Genomic DNA, 21,495 nt, shown 5'->3' with positions numbered 1-21,495 from the left:
CGGGTAATTTAATTGCCCAAATGTCTGTAAAATGAGTTCATAAATGCTAAAAATAATTGATTCATTATTTGCTTTAATTTCCGTCCCCCCAAATTCAGAAGGAACATTGTTAATGTCTGGGCAGCCTCACAGGAGTGTGTCTCACATATGAATGGCATTTATCACATGTGCAGTAGGAAACAGATTAAGCATGACTACTGCATTACCATAATGACACTTTCCATCTCACTTAAGCCAATGAATAATTATCCTTCACAACAGATTCATGAGCCCATAAATGATCTTGCTAATGCTTTGCTTCCTAACATTTATATTTTGATCTCTATCTTTGGGCATGTTTCTCCAATCTATATACATCTATACTCAATCCACGAATGTGTTTGCTCATGGATATAAGCACATATGTTCCTAAGATGTTTGAGGTATGCCCAGAAAGGAGGGAGACTAATTAGCAGATGGCTCTATGGAGCCATTATCATGCCTTTATAGCCCCATATCATTCATTGAGAATAGATAACTATGTACCCTTTGTGGAGAGAAACTTAGAGATAGCAATCACATAACAATGCCACTATAAGCATAGTGATTAATACTGCATTGGACAGGTTCTGGAATTTGATTGGCTGGGTTTGAATTCAGGTCAGCCCCTTGCCTATCTGTGTGACTTTGGGCAAGTTACTTAACCTCTTTGTACCTCAGTTTAACCAACGGAAAAACCAAAATAATAAACAGGGCTCCATCTGAGGGAACTGTTAGAAGAGGATTAAAATGAAAGTGAGTGACATCTGGGAAGCACTTCAACCAGTGTTTGGCAAAAAGTAAGCACTCAAAAATGTTAATTAATGTTGTTACTATTGTTTTTATAACAATAACTTCTGTATACCACTTTTCACATGACAAAATGTTTTCACAGCCTCTGTCTCCTGTTATCCTCTAACAATCTAGAGAAGTAAGAAAGGCACATTAATTACTATGATTTCCAGTGCAGATGAGGAAGTCATGTCTCAGAGATTAGCAGACTTGCCCCATGGTTACTCAGGAAACTGCCCAAAGCTTCCATCACTAATGGCCTTTAATCCTCAGGCTCAGCCAAGCACCTAAAGAAAGTCCATTTGAGGCAGCTGGCCAGTTCTGGACCAATAATGGACTATTTTGAAATCCTACTATATGCTAGGGCTTTACTTTAGTATTCACCTGTATGCTAACTTTGCAAGGGAGAAGTCATTATCACTGTTTTACAATGAGGAAACCTAGGATCAGAGTGGTTTAGTGACTTGCCGGAGGCCTTGTGGCAGAACTGAGGTCCAATTTACATCTCTCTGGCTGCCAAGCCCAAATCTTTTCACTCCACCAGTCTGCTTTGGTACCATGAGACCCATTGAGGGCTGAGATTTGGTACCATGAGACCCATGGAGAGTTGGAATATCTCCCTAAACCAAGGTGGGCCGTGGACACACATATACCCACAGGGTTGTGCTCTTCCCCTAACTTCAGCCAAGACTGTCTGGTTAATGGGCCTAAGCTTTAGCCATGGGTGCTGGCTGATGTTCTTTCTGGTTTCCCTCCAGAGGCCAGGCACCTCACCTGATCTGCTCTATAAAATATCTATCTAAAAACAACATGAGGGTTGCAGGGCACCTTGAAATCAGTGTAGTAGATGACCCAAGCAGTGTGTTTCCAGAGAGAACAAAAGAAATGTAAATAGATCTTTGTGTTTACTGAACAAAGGAGCCTTGCCACAAACAGGGAATTTGGTTTTAACTTTTCACTGACGAAGAAGAAGTTTCAAATTTGTTGGCCATCTGTAGCTGCTTACTTAGTAAGCAGAACGAGAACACCTGGGCATCCCAGCAAAGGTGTCCAGTCCAGAGGGAATTCACACTAGACTCAAGTAGCAGTTCTGCCACTCTCTAGCGATGTGTGTCAGACCATCACTTCACCTCCCTGGGCTTTGGATTCATAATCTGGGCCTTTGGGGTTGGGTCTGCTTCTTCTGAGACAGTTTGTGTTTCTATATGGGCAGCTGCAGAACAACTGGATGACAGGCAGCAGGTGTCCAGTGAGCTTGAATGCCAGACAAAGCAATCTGGCTTTTATGTGTAAACCTGGCTGTTTGTACCTTTTTCAATGGTTTGATTCAGTAGCTCTGATGATATGTGCTTGAGCTATGGAAGATTTCTCATCTTTTTTTCCCTTCTTCCCTAGACTGCAAATGTCAAGATGGCAGATGGTAAGTGGGAGGTAGGGTATAGTCTGGCTTAAGGGAAAAGTTCCAGTCCCACTGAATCCACCTCTAGCTCTGTGTCCCTGAACAAATGATGCCTTCCAGTGCTAATACTAGTAATAATGATGATGATGACACTGACAACAATAATGATTTCATAATGATGGTGGTAATACCTAACACCTAAATGGTATTTATCATCATGACAGTTATTGTTATGAACATTTTACACATGGAAAACAGAGAGGGTAAGGCACAGAGAGGGTAAGAAAGTTGTCCAAGATCACACAGACAGTAAGTAGAAGTGAGATTTTAAACAAATTATTTTGGCTCCAGAGTCCATGCTGTAGGATAGAAGTTCTCAAATTCTTTGGTCTCAGGACTCCTAGATAATCCTTAAAATATTGATGCCACTGAGGGGAGAAAGTTTTAAAATATTTGTTTATTAACCTATTTAAAAATAAAAACAATCCCATTGCTTAACATAAATATTTTAATAAAATATTTAGTAAAATAATATTTTCCACACGCGTATACCAAAAATAGTGAGAAAAGTGGCATTTTTTTTTTATTATTGAATATCTATTATTGTCTTAAAACCAGACAGCTGAAGCCTCCTGTTTCAGCATTCAATCTGTTGAGGTATGTTGTTTTAGTTGAAGAAAATCTGGCTTCGCACAGTTGGAAAAGGGAAGGGTTTTTAATAGTCTTTCAGATAATTTAGGATATTCTTCTTTGATACTACACCAAAATTCGATAGGTGGTAGTTTCTTAAACGTTGGTTGCAATGTGAAATCTGAAATCATATCAATAAACTTTTCATAATCTATTAAATTATAATGGATTGATTTATCTTGTACTTTGAATGGTTATTCTACCTACATACGATTTTGTAACATCATGCATTGCCTGTTTAGAGAACACTGGTTTACTGAGTTACGTTCGTTTTCAAAATGTGGACACCCTTACTTATCTAATATAGAAAATTCAAATGCATTAATATCACCACCAGTGCCATCAGTTATGATTGGGAAGAAGTTGTCAAGCTCGTGATGGTGGCTAAAAGTTTCGCAAAATTCTAACTTTTTCTGGAAAGTTCAAATTTTATTATTGGCAATTAATACTACTGTTTCCTTCAAGCGGCAGGTTCATTTTCCTCATTTTAAAGAATATTCAAGAATAACTAACCATAATTTTTCTGTCGGTCATTCTTTAAAGTAAAAGTGGCTAGTTCAGCTCAGAACTCAAATGCTTTTCTTTGAGACAGTCATAGTACTTGGCAGGAGTACTTTACGTATACTGCCCATCTGCCATATGAAATATTAAAAATCTATGTATTCAAGGGTCAAGATTTAATACAATTAATAATTTTTACTGCTCCATGGAAGATATTCTTAAGTGCAATTGGCTTTTTTTTTCTTTTCAACTACAAGTATATGGCAGTGGAATGTACAGTGACCACTAGTTTGGTACCGTTGGTGCCATTGTCTGAATTTGTTTGAGCAGTTTCACCCACCATTGCTTTTGCACAATTAGGATGGGTAAACCGCAGTTCAGAGGACTTAACAGCCTATCCCAGAGTTCACAGCTAATAAAAGGCAAAGCCAGGATTTGGACACCAAGCCCAGCGCTGTTTCCATCACACTCCATAGCTGCCCTTTCCCAGCCCTCAGGGTCCTAGACTGGTGTAAGGCTTTCAGAACAAAATGGGTTAGCTCAGGCCCTGAACGGTATGAGTCAGAGAGCAGAGTGGCTTGGATGGCATGTTTTCTATTTCCGAACAAGCAGTTTGGGGCTTTGGGGCAATCCCAAGCGATTGTGTCAGATCTGGGCAAAAGTTTAGGACTCTGAATTAAAAAGGATTTGTTACCTTTACAATGTAGGAAAATGAAATGCCAGTATCCTTTTAGTGCCACCATCTTCTCCCATTAACAATGGAAAGTGATGATCATAGCTAACATTTTTCTGAGCATTTACAAAATGCCAGGCACTATTCTGAGCATCTTACACACTTTAATTTAAACTTGACAACAATCCTATGAGGTAGACTCTAAAACTGACCACATTTTAGAGATAAGGAAACTGAGACACAGAGAAGTTAAGGAATTTCCCAAAGTCACACAGCCAGAAAGCGGCAGAGCCAGGACCCAAACCCACGCCTTTGAACAGCAGAGACCATATTATGTTCTGATGCAATCAGATTCCCAATCAATCCAACCTGTAGTCTTTCATTGTCCTTTGCACCACTCATAACCTGAACTAAAAAATATTCTTGCCTTTTTATGAGTCCATCAAGCATGTGACAATACCCACTGGTACTGAAAACAACTAAATCACCACTAGTTGCTTATGACGTAACTGGAAGTCATCATTGAGAATGAGCTTTTTAAATACAGTGCAGGCATGGTCTGTACTGAGGCTTAATGAACCAGAAAAAGCAAACTGCAAGAAAAAAGTTATTTTATGACCTCTCTGGGAATTGAGACTCTATTTCCTCCTTTTTACATTTTTTGTATTCCCCTCAGCACTTCATGTGTTATTGTGAACTTCATAGGCATTTAATAAACGCTGGTTGATGAAGTAAATGGAAGGCTCAAGTGAATTTTAGGCAAATTAGCTTTGGAGACACCCCATTTATTATTTACCCACTTGACAAGATGTCACATCCACAAATCCACAAATCCTTCCCAACATTTATTACTTAATTTTCAAAGTGCCCCCATCTCTCCTCAGGGAGGAAGGTGGGGCCAAGTGTTATATTCCCATTTTGACAGGTGAGAGAAACTGAGATATAAAGAGTTGAGCAGTCCATTGCCATGGCAACCCAGCCAGTCAGCCGAGGAGCCAGTCACAATTAGGTTTAGGGCCTGGGTCTTGGTATCAAAAGAGGCACATGCCAAAATCCTAGCCTCCCACATGACTGATGCTTTTCAGAAGAGGGAGGAGGTTCCCAACATGAAATGAAATGCTTAGCTAAACATAAAGGAAGGCTGCCAAACACAGTTAGGTCATCGCATTTGACTTGGAGAGAACATTCTGTTCACGCTATCAACCTGCATTCACTTTCAGCACACTTCACCATAAATACTTCTGACTCACTATCTCGGGAAATATTTTTTATCTTAATAAACTCAATGCAAAGCATAATCTAAATCAGCTTGCACATTCTTGAGTTCAAGCCACAAGCTGAGTTTAATAAAATCAGCCGAAAATAGCGGGGGACTTCTGAATAACCACAGTTCATTATCTGATACAGGGCTGCTGGGAAGTCCTGAACACACAGAGCTGAAGGTAAAAGCAGGAGGTGGGTAACCTGAAGGTATGAAGGGACCGAAACCATCGGATGACCCCACCTGCTGGATCTTAGTTCTCACCGGACATCTCACTGGAGGCACTGCTTATAATAATAGACTGCGTCACACCAACCAAGAGCATGGGCTCTGGAGCTAGACTGCTTGGCTTCATATCTGAGCATCACCTTTTACTTGCTGTGATTTAACCTCTCTAAGCCTCAGTTTCCTCAAATGTGAAATGGGCTAATAATGATACCTACCCATTAGGGATGTTGTGGGGGTTAAAGGATTTAATCCATCTCTGGAATATCAAAAGTATTCCAGAAAAAAATACTGATACCTGGGTCCCACCCTTAGAGATTCTAATTTAATTGTTCGAGGATGGAATCCAGACATGAGCATTTTTAAAAGCCCTTCTCCAAATGATTCTCCTGTGTAGTGAATAAGAGAACACCTGGCTACAGTAACTATCACTACCATTTCCTGACCCCTGATTCTTGCCTGGCTTCCTGTTAAACCCTGTAATTAACTTATTCCTCAAAAATCCTCAGGAGTATTCTCCACTACAATCCCTTGTTTACAAGAAGAAACCAATGCTGAGACATTAAGTGTGTTGCCTAAGGTCACATAACTGATAAAGAGTGAAACCGCACCTCCAACCCAACCCTTCCTCTTGCACTCCCCAGTATCCAAACCTCTGCCCCAGGTTAAGTACCGAGGTGGCACAATGAAGATAAACATTTTCTGGGTGAATGAACCTGCTGGAAACCAGGGGATATGATGGTTAAAAGTGAAAAGAAAAGAAGTGCTGTGCTGGGCTGGGTGCTGGCCGAACACATTTTCTTGAAAACACAAGGACTAATGCATCAAGCTGAGCTTGGGCTATTGACTACAGAGTAGTAAGAGTGGGTTTAAAGAGTATCCACTGGACCAAAGACAACAAATGGCCAATAATGTGCCTCCTTTTTGGGGAGAGAACACACACACATTAAGAATGGTTCTGCAAATATGCACTTAGAGCAAAACCCCCTATAAATCAGGGTTAATGGGGAAAGACAGCCACCTTTATAGTTCTTTCCTTAGGAAGCCCAGTTAGCATGTGGTGCCACTCAAAGGAGTTTAAGAAAACTTGCACTTTGCTACTTAGAGGCTTATTTTAATGAATAGGTCTTTTTTACAAATAGACAAATTGTATGTAAATGCACTCTTAAAAGCTCAGGGAAACTACTTTTTCCTTTTAAGAAAAGATCTCTACCAAATTAGAGTGGCTGGTCTCCAGCATTTAGATTGTTTTATGTCTCAGGTATAATTAATAAAGGTGGGAGAAGAAGGGAAAAACATATATTAGGCACTGATTCTATCAGGCATTTTACATGTATTATTGCATTTTGTCATCACCAGAACCCTGTATATATACATAGGATTTTCCAGCCCCATTTTAAGGAAGATACCAAGGTTTATAGAGGTCTTAGCATAGCTAGACTGTACACAGGTTGGACTGGAACTCAGTTCCATTGACACTCTTCTCCTGTCCCTACTGCCAATCTGCATTTTATAACATACTGTCATTAAGAACTTTTCCCACTATTAATTGACTTGAGACCATCCAGATAAAACCTCCTTCCCACACCAAAGGTGCTATGATTTTTACCAGTCTTTATTTTTACCCCAGGAGCAGGTTATTTAATGGGATCCTTAGTAACCACAAATTAGGTTACTCTAAGAGACCTTTTGCTGATTATAAGCTTTTGTGGATATATGGTCTGAATGTTTGTGGCCCCCTAAAATGTATATGTTGAATGCTCAGGGTGAAGAGGTGGGGCCTTGGGAAGTGATTAGGTCATGAGGATGGTACCTTCACGAATGGGATTAGTCCCCTTATAAAATAGACCCCAGGGACATCCCCTGCCTCTCCTACCATGTGAGGACACAATGAGAAGACAGCTGTCTGTGAACCAGGAAATGAGCCCTCAACAGGGAGAACCTGACCATGCTGGTGTCCTGATCTTGAACTTCCAGCCTCCAGAACTGTAAGAAATAAGTTTCTGTTGTTTTATAAGCCACCCAGTCTATGGTAGTTTATTATAGCAGCTGAACAGACATAGAAAGTGTATTTTTGTATCTATTTTACCTCAAATTTTCAAGTGTTTTTATTATGAGAAGGTATCATTTTGTTACTTTATATTTATCATATGTGCACTTTTCACTTAAATTTCTAAGTGGGAATACTTAGAATTTATGAGCAGAAACAAACTTAACCATCAGGGAAATGACTTGATTTTTATATAATATGACCAAAGTCTTTTAACTAGAATTTTGAATACAAAGTTTCTGGCTTGAGAATTGGTCCTTGAGTTTTGGTGAAATATTCCCAATCTTGTTTCTAACTTTCTCAGCCTCATCCATCCCAATTTTAAAATGCTAAATTTTTAAAAACTAAACCCCCATCTTTAGCTGAATGCTAGGATGATAAGTAAATCTATAGTCCTAACAACTCTTTAGGTTTAGGGTACATCTACATTCCAAGAAGTCACTTGAAGCTTTTCCCATCCCTGTAAAACCAAACCAAATAATAATAACAAAACCACCAGCTATTACTTTGCTTCACTATAACTTAGTAAGGGCCTAACTTAAAAACAACAACAAAAAAGCAAAGTTTCTGACCCCGGGGCTTAAGCTTTATAGGTCACATTGCAGCCTAAAGACTGCATTCTCCTTTGTGGTTGAATTATAAACCTTTGAAAAATGCTGACAGACCTTAACTATAGCAGGACAGGATGAGTGGGTCCACGTAATGAACTTTTACATGACTGGAGATAGAATCTAGAAAGCCAAGCCTGAAATACATTTCTGGTTTGGGCTTTGGGCCAACACAAACAGAACACATCATAAGTCATCTCTGTGATTTCAGTACCATGCACAGGAGATGCCTCAGCATCAACACGACACATGATCCTCACTGTGGAAGCTTTTGGCTGCTTCTATGTCATGCAAATGCAACAGTTGTGCTTTCAGCTCTGGTAGAGAGCCCTGTGCTAGGAAGAACTAGGCCACATTCAGGTCATTCAAAGACAAAGTCCGTGTGTATTTTCACTACCCTGGCCTGACTCTTAGGCAGTGGCTTGCCCAGTCATAATAAATTCTCAAGCATTTGATGGCTCTAAGTGGAGCCTAGGTGGCTTTCAAAATAAAAGTTTGTCATTCTGGCCCATGAATTTCTATTCCTCTGGGGATCCATAAAGTCATACAATCTCAGTATTCTAAAGTCACATCTTGGTTAAACAGGACCAGAATCCCTTTGTGTGCCAGTCAGCATTCCAACTCAGTTCCACCAAGGCTGACACTCCAGTTTCATGTTTTCCCAGAATGTAAACTTCAAGGAGCACAAAAGGGCACACAAGCCATTCTTTCTCCCTTTCTCCATTCATTATGCAAGATCTGTATTTCAAAATTTAAAAGAATCTGCTGACTTGACCACAACTCAAGGTCTCCTGTTAGCAGGGCAGTGCAATGGTGAAGGCCCTGTCACTTGAATGTTCTCTCTCATGAATGGGGCGGTTTTGCCTTGAAATTTTGAACCAGATTCCTCAACAATTAGAAATTATCTGCTCTACTGCTTTTCAAGAAAACAGAAAAGCACTGAGAAATCTGGAGATGAAGACTGAAGGAGCTACTATTTTCTTTGTAGCAAGAGACAAAAATCAATTCAACACACAAGGCCGTGAACTTTGAGGATGGGACCATGCCTTTTTCATTTGCTGTGGCTCCTTAAACTGATCACAGGCTTGCTAAAGATAGACGTGTAAAATGCTAGATGAAGAGATGAACGGATCTATTTTTATTTTGCTATCTATTATAAATAGATAAACAAAAACCTAAGAGCCTGCACTCAAAGATCACTCATCCTGGCTACACAGTCATGCAGGTAAAGAGATAATCATGATAAAGTGTGATCTGGGTATGTTCAGGGTGGTAAAGAACCCTAGAAAGGGGAAACTTAACCCATTTTCCAGGCCAGAGGTGTCAGAGAAGGGTTTCCAAAGGAGGTAACACCTTGCAATCGGTGGAATTTTTTTAAAAAGAGGTGATGCGGCCTCTGTCCTTCAGGAGCCCCTTAAGATCTGGAAGGAAAGCAGAGCTATTCTAGGGATCTAATTTGGAAGTACAAGTCAGAGTGAGAGCAAAAGCCAAGTGTGTGGTCAAGATGCTGAGTGTTGAAGGCATTCACAAGATAGGGTGGAGAAAGGGAGGCTGAGATCAAAACAGGCTGGCCAAGGTTACTGAGGTGGTGGCAGAGAGGCCAGATGGTTCCCTGACTTTTATCAGGCAGAGTGGGCAAGACCCAGTGTGGAGTGGAGAGGCGGAGAAACCCCAGACTTCCTGTCCTCTTGCTGGAATGTGCAGGCATTTAGGGGAGGCGAGGAGTAGACAGGAGAGGGGAAACAGAAGATAAATAAGCAAATACTTATTAAATACTTGTGCGGACATGGAGGGGGGACCTGTCCCATCTCTCCTTGGCCTCGCAAAACAGTGATACAAAAGAAACATATGAAAATAATCAGAACAAGGAAAGAGGTAAGGAAAGGGCTGTTTTATGCTCAGGAGGGGGTGAACCTGTCCAGCTCTAGAAATCAGGGAAGGTGTGAGAGAGTAGGGGGTGCTTGCATTGGGCCTTGATGGAGAGCAAGGCTGCAGAGGGGAGAGGAAGGGCAGAAGCTGTGCAGTTGTTTTGGGGAGAGTGTGGCACACAAACCAGATGCCACCCTTGGTGACATGTACCATGCATATCTGCTGAGGACTCCACAGTGCACTTCTCACAGCTTCCCCACTTCACTGTGTTTCTGACATTAGGTCAGAAATTATTAGCATTTTTGGTAGGAAAGTTCCTCCTCCAGCAGGATTGCTAGCACATGGTAGCGTGTTTAACATCCTAAACCCCTATTCAATAAATGTCAACTGCACACCCTCATCATGGTGACAACTAAAAACAGAACCACTCATATATGACTACATTGAGGAACCCCAAGGCATCTTTTCATCACGGTCTTATTAACCATAGAGCCTAGCCAGTTCCCAGCACACAAGAATTGCATGATAAAACAAGGCCCTGATCCACCTTGCCTGCCCATGCTAACTCCTAGGCCACTAAAGTCCATAGTTAGCAAATTCTGTGAGTAACTGCAGCTCGGGCTAGCAAACTAGTTGCAATGGATGTAGCTGTCAGTGAAGCCAGAAACTATCAGTTGTCTGAAAATCATGGCTTCCAGCTGAAATGAAAGCTCCCTGAAAAGTGTTCATTTTTTCATATTTCTCATGCAGGAAGACATATCAAGCAGAGATGTAGAAAACTATCTGCAAATTGTTTGATGCTCCTTCTATGAGAAGGTGGAGTCTGTGTGCCCTTTCCTTGCACCTGGCAGGACCTCTGTGATCGTGTCTTTCTTGCATGTGGCAGGACCTCTGAGAACAGAATGTTGCAGAAGTGACACTGTGTGAGAGACTTCAGAGTCAGGTTTAAAAAAACTTGAGGCAATCCCTCTGGGAGCCTTCAGTCACCAGTTACCCTGAGGCCACCACATGGAGAGTGCTTGGAGAGAATAAAGAGAAGCTCTTGGACATCTCTTGTGCAAACAACACTTGTGTGTGAAACAGCCCCAGCTGTTCCAGACTCCAGCTGTTTTTGTCTTCTCAGTCGAGACACCAGACATGTGAATGACAAAGTCTTTAAGATGACCCTAGACCCAGCCACCATCTGACTGCAACCACATGAGAGACTCTGCACAAGAATCATCTAGCTGATCCCAGTCAACTCTCAGAACCAGGAGAGAGAATAATAATACATGATTGTTGCTGGAAGCTACTATGTTTGTTGTGGTTTGTTACCTAGCAGGAGCTAACTGATACACAGCTCTCACTTGAGATTCTAAGGAGTGAAGTAAATTCTCTAGAAAAGCAGACATTTATTGGAGAAGTATCTTGTGACAGATTCCGTGCTAGGAAGTAAAAGCAATGACTTACACACAGTCCCTGGTTTCAAGGATCTCCCAGGGGAGATTCAATATGAACATGGATTATCACAAATATTAGGAAAGAATAGACCCAAGAGGCACAGAGAATACATGATGGGAGTATATTCTGGGAGACTCCTGGATGAACTCGCTGTGATCGTGGGCTAGCAAAGTTAGTAAAGTGCCCTCCAGATGGGAAACCCCAGGGAATGAAGTAAAAATAAACATAAAGAACTTTGGTCCTTCCACACTGTGAGTTTGTTGAGGACAAAAAACATGTACCCCAGTACCTGTCATGTAGCAGAATCTTGCTCAGTTTATATTTACTGGATGGATGGGTGGATGGATGGATGGATGGCACTAGGGAGCCAGCCTAGAAAGAACATTGGCTGGCCTGAGGACCAGAAGGCTAGGGATCGAGTCCTAGCTGTGTGACCCTGGGTAAATCACTTATTTTACCTGTCTATAGTCTTCAGTTTCCATATCTGTCTAATGTGAGGATAAGGCTAGGAGATCTCTGAGGTTTGTTCCCAACTCAAACCTTCTAGGGTACCAAAGGGCAAGTATGAACATCCATCTATGTGTTTACTTGGCCATCTCTATAATCAAATACACACCAGAGAGGTATCAATCTGTCTTTGTTAAGACTCTTTGATTACATGCAACAGGAACTAACTCAAGCCAGTGTAAGAGGGTGAGGAAAAGCAGACGAGGTGGATGGGGAATTTAACACAGGATGCAAGGGTTTCTTGTGAAACTCTGGCAAGATGTCTGGCCAGGTTTCGGGAGGAACGAGAACCAAGAACTGGAAAGCTGCCGGGAACCAGATCAGGAATCTCCCTCCACCCCCAGACTCTAATTCTCTTTATGAATCTGCTTAAATCTCTCTTTGAAAACCAGCTTTCTTGGCTTTTCTATGCACACAGTAGAAGATCAACACTCTATGGCCCCCAGATTGATCTCTTGGCACTAACAGCAACTGACAAACACTAACAGGCTACCTCTGAGTTCCAATTGCAAATTCCTGGGAAAGAGACTCTGGCGTAACCTGGGCCAGGTGTCCTCTCCCTGGTCCAATCAACTCTCACCAGAAGGACAGGGTTATAAATTCAAACATGGCTGCTGAAGGCCCCTCATGATGGGTCGTGAAAGCAGCTATCAGACAACAGAGGGCTATTATGAGGTAGGCAGCCTCCCTGAAAGGTATCGCATATAAAGTCCAAGAAAATGAAATAAACAATTTTTGTATGGATTATTGATAAGGACAAACATTGTCTAACTTAAGCTTCCTCTTCGTGTGCAATGGAACCCTTTCCAAAGCCACTTTAGAAACTCTGACAAACTTGAGGAAAATCAGTTAATTTTCAAATTCATCTAGGTTGCACACAAGCATCACTATTTTCTAGCACCTTTAGGATGATCTCACAAACATTATGATGATGGAGACTCATGAGGGGGCCTTGTGCTCTGGACTGCTAGTGTGTGCCACAGCCTCCTTTCTCATCACTTTACCAAAAGATGTGATTTGAAAAACATATGAAAATATTGCCACTGAACTCCCACACCAATTCCTGAAGAGCTACTGAGGATTTTGGTGTCACTTTAGAAGTCACTCTATTTGTGAATAGCCCAGCAAGAGAATCAGGTCAAGCTATTAGGGAGAGTCTATGGAAAGGTAGGTATCTACCTCGAGATTAATGATACTGAATAAAGGAAAAGCAGTTATTTTTGACATTTTGACCATCACTTTAGGGTCTGGTTCTTATTAGTTCCATTTCTTCCTTTTAAAAGGCTTATTTATTTATATATTTTAATGGAAAATGTCAGGAAATTTGGAACAGAAACTTACAATAAAACACATCCCCTGACCCTCTGATCTATCAATCTTTCAAATAAACAAGAATACTTACAGAAGCCTGGAAGAAGGCACTTCTTGGTAGTTACCTGATATTAGCCACCATAATGGTCATTATCTAGCAATTGTTTTTTGGGAAATGGAGTAGAATGGAGAGAATAGGAAGGAAAGAGAATGCAGATGAGTGAGTGAGAGAGAGTATGAGAGAGAAAGAGGGGGGACTCAATAATTCATTTTTGCTATAAATGCTTAAAAAACTTACAGGTGCCAAACAAGACACCCTCGTTCATATTTTTTCTCCAATCATTCCATTTTGGAAGCTACATTATTCACAAATGAGACATTCAAGAAACAAAAATTCTGAAATAAAAATGGGCACACCACCAGTGGAAAAGCAAACAAAAGCAGCTAATGTACTGTGGCTAAAAAAATTTTCAAACAAAGTGGCAGTAATTTACTGCCCTTGCTCTTAGCTAGACCCCATGAACATAATCAGAACCCCCAGGACTGATGGGAAAGTGTGATTTACAGTAAGTCTCAGGATAATAAAAAAAAAAAAAAATGAAAAAGCAAATTGTGCATGAACATGAAAGCTGTATTTCTTCCATTTTCAGCAATGGAATCAAATTTCCAGCCAGAATTTCAGGGTAAAATTAGAAGTCTTCAAGAAGTAAACTATGAGCCAACCAGCATCCCTACTTGGACACTGCTCCAGCTGCCTGAATGACGTAACTAACATTTAGAGATAACAGTGAATAGAAAGACACACACGACACCATCTGAATCACAGTAAAGAGATGGGTGGACCTGGGTTTGAGTCCTGGCTGTGTCACTTGTTCTCATGTATCCTTGAGCAAATTATTTCACATCTCCAAGCTCTAGTATTACCTGTTGCTTCAGACTGTTACACGGATTAAATGAGATAAAGTGTATAAAGCACTTAGGAAAGTGTTTGGCACATGCAAGTCTCAATAAATTTCATTATACATTTTAAATACAAATAGTACATTTTGATAAATGAGTTAGTGTTCTTAAGGTACTTAGAACAGTACCTGGTGCACAGTGAAGTTCTATATAAGGGTTTGTCATTATTATTACTATATAGTAAAACCTCCATTAATCAGGATGTCTAGACAATGAGGTAACTAAGTTAACTTATTTTCATGCTTAAAACCTCTAAACCACTTCAAGTTTTTGAAAATCCTTTTAAAATGTGTTAGTCTCTTTTCTAAGATTAGTAAGTAAAATATGTTAAGTATCAACTTAGAACTTTTACACAGGATCATGCATGGCTCCAGGAATACATGTCAGAAGTCCTGGGTTCTAGTACCACTCTGTTACTTGTCAGCAGTGTAACTCTGAGCCTCAGTTTACTCATCTGTGAAATAAAAGATCAGTTATGCTTTTCTCCCAGTTTTGGTGACTGTCAGATGCAACCACGTATATGCAATTATTTTGAAAACAACAAAATTAAGGTGAATTAAAAATAGCATAAATTTGTTATTATCATTCTTTAGAATACGATATCCTGTTTCTGGGGATGCATGTGCATAGGGGTATGGAGATTCCAGATTATACCAAGGACGTTGCACTTTCTGAAAACTGTGGTAAAATATACGTGACAAAACGTACAATTTTAATTATTTTTAAGTGTTTAGCTCAGTGGCATTAAGTACAATCATATTGTTATGCAACCATCACCACCATCCATCCCAAAACTTTTTTCATCTTCTCAAACTGAAACCTCGTGCCCACTAAAGACTAACTCCCCATTCTCCTTTCCTCCCAATCCCTGGCAACCACCATCTTACTTTCTGTCTATCAATTTCACTACTCTAGGTACCTCATATAAGTGGTGTCATACAGAATATTGTTTTTTAAAAAAAGTCTCTTGTTTATTTTCTTACCTTTTCCATCTTTGACTTTAAAAGTTGAGTACAAAAAGCAGTGGAAATTGAGAATTTCCTTTTGTGGGTCCTAAATCCTTGAGGCTTACAATAGGACTGTGATTAAGAAGAAACAAACATACACTTCCCTGATAGCATCCTCCAAGCTCTGATGGGGCTGACTGCTTGGTCTGGTCTCCATTGCAATCTTAGGATACTTTTGAGAAGCTATGATGTTATAAGGCTGTGCAGTGAGGACCAGGGGATGGAGTCTGGTCCCACCTCTGCCACAAAGTACTCTTGATATTGTGTGAACCATTCTTTTCTTTGGGTCATGTCTGTTAAGCTTCAGGCACAATGGGCTACATTATTCCAAAGTAGTGTCAACTTCATATTCAAGTGTTTTGATGGTATTTATTCCTTGCAAGACACTGCAAAATATAATTCTCTTCCTCCCCCAATCTCCATGCAGGAACAACATATTTTGCTTTTTGCATTTTTTTTTTTTTTTTTTTTTTTGAGACGGAGTCTCACTTTGCCAACTGGGCTGGACTGCAGTGGCACAATCTCGGCTCACTGCAAGCTCCTCCTCCCGGGTTCACACCATTCTCCTGCCTCAGCCTCCTGAGTAGCTGGGACTACAGGCACCCACCACCATGCCCGGCTAATTTTTTTATGTTTAGTAGAGACGGGGTTTCACTGTGGTAGCCAGGATGGTCTCGATCTCCTGACCTCATGATCCGCCCGCCTCAGCCTCCCAAAGTGCTGGGATTACAGGCATGAGCCACCGCGCCCGGCCATATTTTGTATAATGAAAATGGAAGAGGAGGAAGATACCTGTGATATTTTTCCTAGGAAAAGAAACCAGGGGGTAATATTGAACTGGTTTTGGATGTTACTGGCAGTTGATTCAGTGTTGTCATCTTTCTTCTGACCAGAAAAAAAAAAAGAGTTTCATAGCACAAGCCAAAATGTTATAGTGCATGCACACGCACACACAAACACACACACACAAAAGCAAAAGCTGTGTTCAAATTCAAGGCTATGCCTTCACAAGAAAAAAGAAATAATGAGTTAAACCATCTGAATTTAGAAGACAGAAATACGTGATCATTTTTAAGTTATCTCTGAAGTCACACATACACCAGCTCCAGGATTCTAAGATCCAATTCTGTTGAGTAGAAAAAGCAATATAGTCAAATATAAGATGCCACAGACAAAAAGGGTTATGTATTTTGGAATGAGCAACTATCCTTAACATTCATAAACTTCCCAACTGGGATCCATTTGTATGAAGAGACTCTTCTGGTCTGATAAGAGCCTGGCTTTGGGAAAAAGAACAAGATGACCCAAATTCTTTTGGGGGAGACATTTTCACACATGAATCATCCAAGAAAAATGGCAGCTACATCAGAACATTGGCTGCCTGCCCCAGAAGCTGACCCTGGGGGGCTCAGGCTGCTGGGACCCACCTTCAGCATGGAATGTACTCAGGATAGCAAGGCTAAGTACCTCATCCATCTGACTTCTACAGTCGTGGACAACTCATGCATATTACCATTTTCTTCCCCAGACAGTGTAGCCTTTGGTTGAAAAATACAGCCTCTACTGGTCAGAACCAAGTCAATTTTGTTAGTATGGATATTTCCAAGCTGTGTCCTCCAAACAGCTTCATAAATACTAACTGACAGAAGCTGGGCGTGGTGGCTCATGCCTATAATCCCAGCATTTTGGGAGGCAGAGGCGGGCGGGTTGCTCAAGTCCAAGAGTTCAGGACCAGCCTGGGAAACATGGCAAAACTCTGTCTCTACAAAAATTAGGCAGGCATGGTGGTGTGTGCCTGGAATCCCAGCTACTCAGGAGGCTGAAGTGGGAAGATCGATTGAGGCCAGGAAATTGAGGCTGCAGTGAGCTGTGATCATGTCTGGGCGAAGAGTGAGATCCTGTCTCAAAACACACATACATATGTACACACACATACATACACACACACACCCCTAATTCACTGGACCAACATACATGAAACAATGTAAAGATAATTTGTAATAATCTAAATATAAGTTTTCTAATATATATTACCCACAAAGGGATGGGAGAAGTTAGGTTTTATAGGTCTATTTCCATTAAGTCTATGTCAGGGATAGAGAATTCCTGAGTCAGAAGACTTTAGAGATGAAAGAAAACTAAAATATTAGTTATACCAACACCCCCAGAGCATTCTCGATATAGCATTCCTGAAAACTGGTCATGCAGATGGCTTCAATTCCTCTAGAGAAAGGGAGATTACTTCTCCATGAAGGAATGAGTGACGGAGGTAGGCTACATGATCTTATATCAGATCTTTACACTTTTTGGAAATGTGGTTTTCTCATCTATAAAAGATGGGAACTATTTTATAGGACCATGTGGAAGTGGAAATTGTAAAGCAGCAGTTTAGCAACTGATTATCAATGAGTGTTAGTTTCCTTCACCTTTTTGTTATTTATTAAAAAGTTCTTCCATAAACTGGGCAGAAGTGTGCTTCTTTGTAACTTTTACCTGGTGGTCTCAGTCTAAACCCCTCAAGCAACATTTTTTCTGTCTTCTGTAAGGCATCACTTCCAACACTTGGAGATGGGCACAAGCATTTCTCTTATCTAGCCTACACCCACCCAATTGCCTCCATCATTCTTTAGAGCTAATGAAAAACTCAAGTCATAAATGTTATGGAGTACCAATAAAATTGGGAGCAAACTGGGAGCATATTAAGGCAGAGTCCCTAACTTCAAGGAGCTTAAGTATATAATGTAGTTTGGGTAAAATAGGGGCTCAATCAAAATACAGTCAAAAAAATCATTATTGAGTAGGTGAAAGGGCAACTAAATTTGACTGGAAAACCAGAGAAGGCTTCATGGGAAATGACATTTGAGTTGGGTAATGAATAATTGGAAAGATTTTAAAAGACAGAAAGCTTATGCTGGGAAAACAGCATAAGCAAAACCATGGAGAAATGAAAATACATGTGATGTTTTAAGAAAGGTACAATGGACTGAACTGTGTTCCTCCAAAATTTATATTGGAGTTAGGGTTGAAGCCCTAACCCCGATGTGACTGTATTTGGAGACAGGGTTTTTAGGAGATGACATTTAATGAGGTAATCAGGGTGGGGTCTTAATCTGATAAGATTGGTGGCCTCATAAAAATATAAGGACCTCTCTCTCTGTCAGTCTGTCTCTCTCTGCCATGTAAGGGCAGAGCAAGACGCCAGTGGCCATCTGTAAGGCAGAAAGAGAGCCCTTACCAGAAACTGATTCCTGCTGGACCTTGATCTTGGACTTTCCAGCCTCCAGAACTGTAATACAATACATTTCTGTTGTTTAAGTCACACAGCATGTGGTACTTTGTTATGGCAGCCCTAGCAGACTAATACGAAGGGCAATTACGAGGAGAATCAATGGGTAAAGACCAAGGAAGAGAGTCAGAGGGTATATTGACCAATGGGGTAGAATAAGAAAATGTAAATGGTCAGGCTTAGGAGACAGAGAAACCAATGTTCAAATCTGTTTTGCTGCTTGATTAGTTACATGACCTGAGGTTACTCAACCTCTCTGAGCTCAGATTTCTTCTTTGTTAATGGTAGAAGGAGATAATATATGCAAGGTACCATTCACAGGTATGATTCACAGGTACTATTCACAGAAGGATGGTAGGTTAAGTACCTTCCACCCAGCATGTGGAAGGTACTCTATAAATGTTAACAAATATTATTTTTATTAATATAAATATACGATAATTAATGATCATAAAACTAGTACTGAAACAAGACATAAGAGTGATATAGGATGTTCAATGATCTGAATACACCTTAAAAATTCCTCTGGGGCTTGTTTTGGCAGCACATATACTAAAATCAGAACAATAAAGAGAAGATTAGCATGGCCCCTGGGCAAAGATGACAGGCAAATTCATGAAGTGTTCCATATTTTTAAAACAATGAATAAGACTTAGTATTGATAGCACAACAGGGGTATTATAGGCAATAATAATTTAACTGTACATTTTAAATAACTAAAAGAGTATAACTGGATTATTTGTAACACAAAGGATAAATGCTTAAGGGAATAGATAACCAATTTTCCATGGTATGATTATTATGCATTGCACACCTGTACCAAAATATCTCAAAAACTCCATAAATATATACACCTACTATGTATCTAAAAAATTTTTTTTAAGTCCTCTTAGAATGGTGCATATTTTTTCTTCTTAGCATTTCTGGATGGCAATTGCATCTTCTAGAATGCCAAGAACAAAAATCTAATTGTGAATGAGAAAACACTGCTTTCAGAAAAACAGCAGCAACTGTGAGAGAAAATATGCATGCAATATTGGCATTCATGTGGGCTAAAGAGAGGAGATGTGGGTCATGGCCAGATGTGTCCTTGATCTGCTTCCTATTTAGCAAACGCCCATGCATCCTGTAATACCCAACTCAAATGTCACCTCCACAAAGTCTTACCCAAACTTCCCCAAACCTATTATGTGCCCAATTCATTTGATCTGTTTCTTCCACTAGACTGTGAGCATCTTGAGGACAGATGCATATTACTTATTTATGCACCTACCACAGTAACTGGCACATAGCTCATCAAATGCTTGTTGAGTGAATTAATGTGACAAAATGGGAATGCTGACCTTAAAGTTCAGAGAAACAGGAAGATGCTGAAATCAGTGAAAAGAATTTTTTTAAAAAATCTAAACTACATGCATTTGTAAGAGAAGAGAGGCAGTTCTCCACACTGGCAACAAGACAAGGTATAATCATGATAGAGGCTCTGTCTACATTGTTTTCCTGCCAACAGCCATATCAACATCTTAGATAGGAACTAAATTAAGGCCAGGCGCAGTGGCTCACACCTGTAATCCCAGCATTTTGGGAGGCCGAGGCAGGAAGATCATGAGGTCAGGAGATCAAGACTATCCTGGCCAACATGGTGAAACCCTATCTCTACTAAAAATACAAAAATTAGCTGGATGTGGTGGCAGGTGCCTGTAATCCCAGATACTCAGGAGGCTGAGGCAGGAGAATCACTTGAACCTGGGAGGCAGAGATTGCAGTGAGCTGAGACCAAGCCACTGCATTCCAGCCTGGCAACAGAGTGAGACTCTTTCAAAAAAAAAAAAAGAAAAAGAACGAAATTAATATCATACACAAAGTTGGGATGTTATGAGCATGCAAAATGATAGCATCAAATAATATGACAAATCTAACATGTTGAAATATAATAGGAATAGCTTCTAGTGAGTGCTGGGACACAAAACACCGATTATACAATGAGAGATGAGAATTAAACAATGAGTATGAGAAAAGGGAGATGCAAGTGAATGGTAAAAACCGCAAGAAACTCACAGGAGATTTAGTTAATTGCCATTGATTAAAAGTCAACAATAAGTTAATAAGTTGATGTTATGGAGCAGCAGATAATTTAGGTTGAGAAATAAAAGCATAAAATGAATTAGCAGAAAAAAAGTGCAAAATGAAGTGGCAGCACAAAGTATTCTGTGCTCACTCCAGGAGCCCACCTTTTATGAGGGAAGGATCTGGAAAACAAGCTAGGAAGGGGATAATGAAATGAATGGAAACTTTAGTCAGAGAAAGAAGAGATTCTGTGGGCAATAACATCATAATGAAAATGCACTATCAGAGCTCTGCATGATCTCCTGTAATTCTCAAATCAACCTCATGAGGTTTAGGTGTCCATATACCAGGTCCTCTACCTAAAAACAGACAAGGTCTGAAAGGCTATTTGTCATTTTATCCAAAGTTCAAAGGAACACTGGAACTAATGAGGACACATCTATGTAACAATAAGTTTCATAACAGATTGTTGGTATTAATATATTATGACACTGATTTTGATCCTTCTTGCTTCTTTTCAAAGTATTTACAATTTTATCTAGAGATATTGATATGGTTGGGGTCCCCACCCAAATGTCATCTGGAATTGTAATCCCCATAATCCCCATGTGTTGAGGGAGGGACCCAGTGGCAGGTGATTGGATCATGGGAGAGGTTCCCCATGCTGTTCTTCTGATAATGAAGGAGTTCTCATGAGATCTGATGGTTTTATAAGTGTTTGACAGTTTCCCGTTCACACACTCTCTCTCACATGCCGCCATGTAAGACATGCCTGCTTCCCCTTCAGCCATGATTGTAAACTTTCTGAGGCCTCCGCAGCCATGTGGAACC

General features: G+C 40.3%; 1 protein-coding gene, 1 long non-coding RNA gene and 1 pseudogene across 6 annotated transcripts in view; 2 read left to right on the top strand and 1 right to left on the bottom strand.

The window, feature by feature from the left end:
• The window catches only part of ROR1 (receptor tyrosine kinase like orphan receptor 1), a 407,482-nt gene that overhangs the window by 133,373 nt on the left and 252,614 nt on the right, over positions 1–21,495 (bottom strand). The window contains exon 3 of one of the 5 annotated variants that reach the window (XM_017001377.2): positions 20,829–20,858. The exons of 3 other annotated variants lie outside the window; for them this stretch is intronic. Coding sequence is in view for 1 of the 2 variants with exons in the window: in XM_017001376.2 (XP_016856865.1) it covers positions 20,829–20,931 (103 nt within the window). In the remaining variant the exon portion in view is untranslated. Of the gene's footprint in view, positions 1–20,828; positions 21,291–21,495 lie in introns of those variants that run through there. One more of the 5 variants, XM_017001376.2, reaches the window with a different exon arrangement.
• Positions 13,113–14,191, top strand: LOC105378772 (uncharacterized). Its single transcript, XR_947458.3, has 2 exons — positions 13,113–13,200; positions 13,995–14,191. It is a non-coding gene; the product is annotated as an uncharacterized LOC105378772 (long non-coding RNA).
• RNU6-809P (RNA, U6 small nuclear 809, pseudogene) lies at positions 19,126–19,232 on the top strand (annotated as a pseudogene).

This window comes from Homo sapiens, chromosome 1 (genome assembly GCF_000001405.40).
Source record: "Homo sapiens chromosome 1, GRCh38.p14 Primary Assembly".
NCBI classification, from domain to species: Eukaryota; Metazoa; Chordata; class Mammalia; order Primates; family Hominidae; genus Homo; species Homo sapiens.
This window is presented reverse-complemented; position numbering and strand designations above follow the sequence as displayed.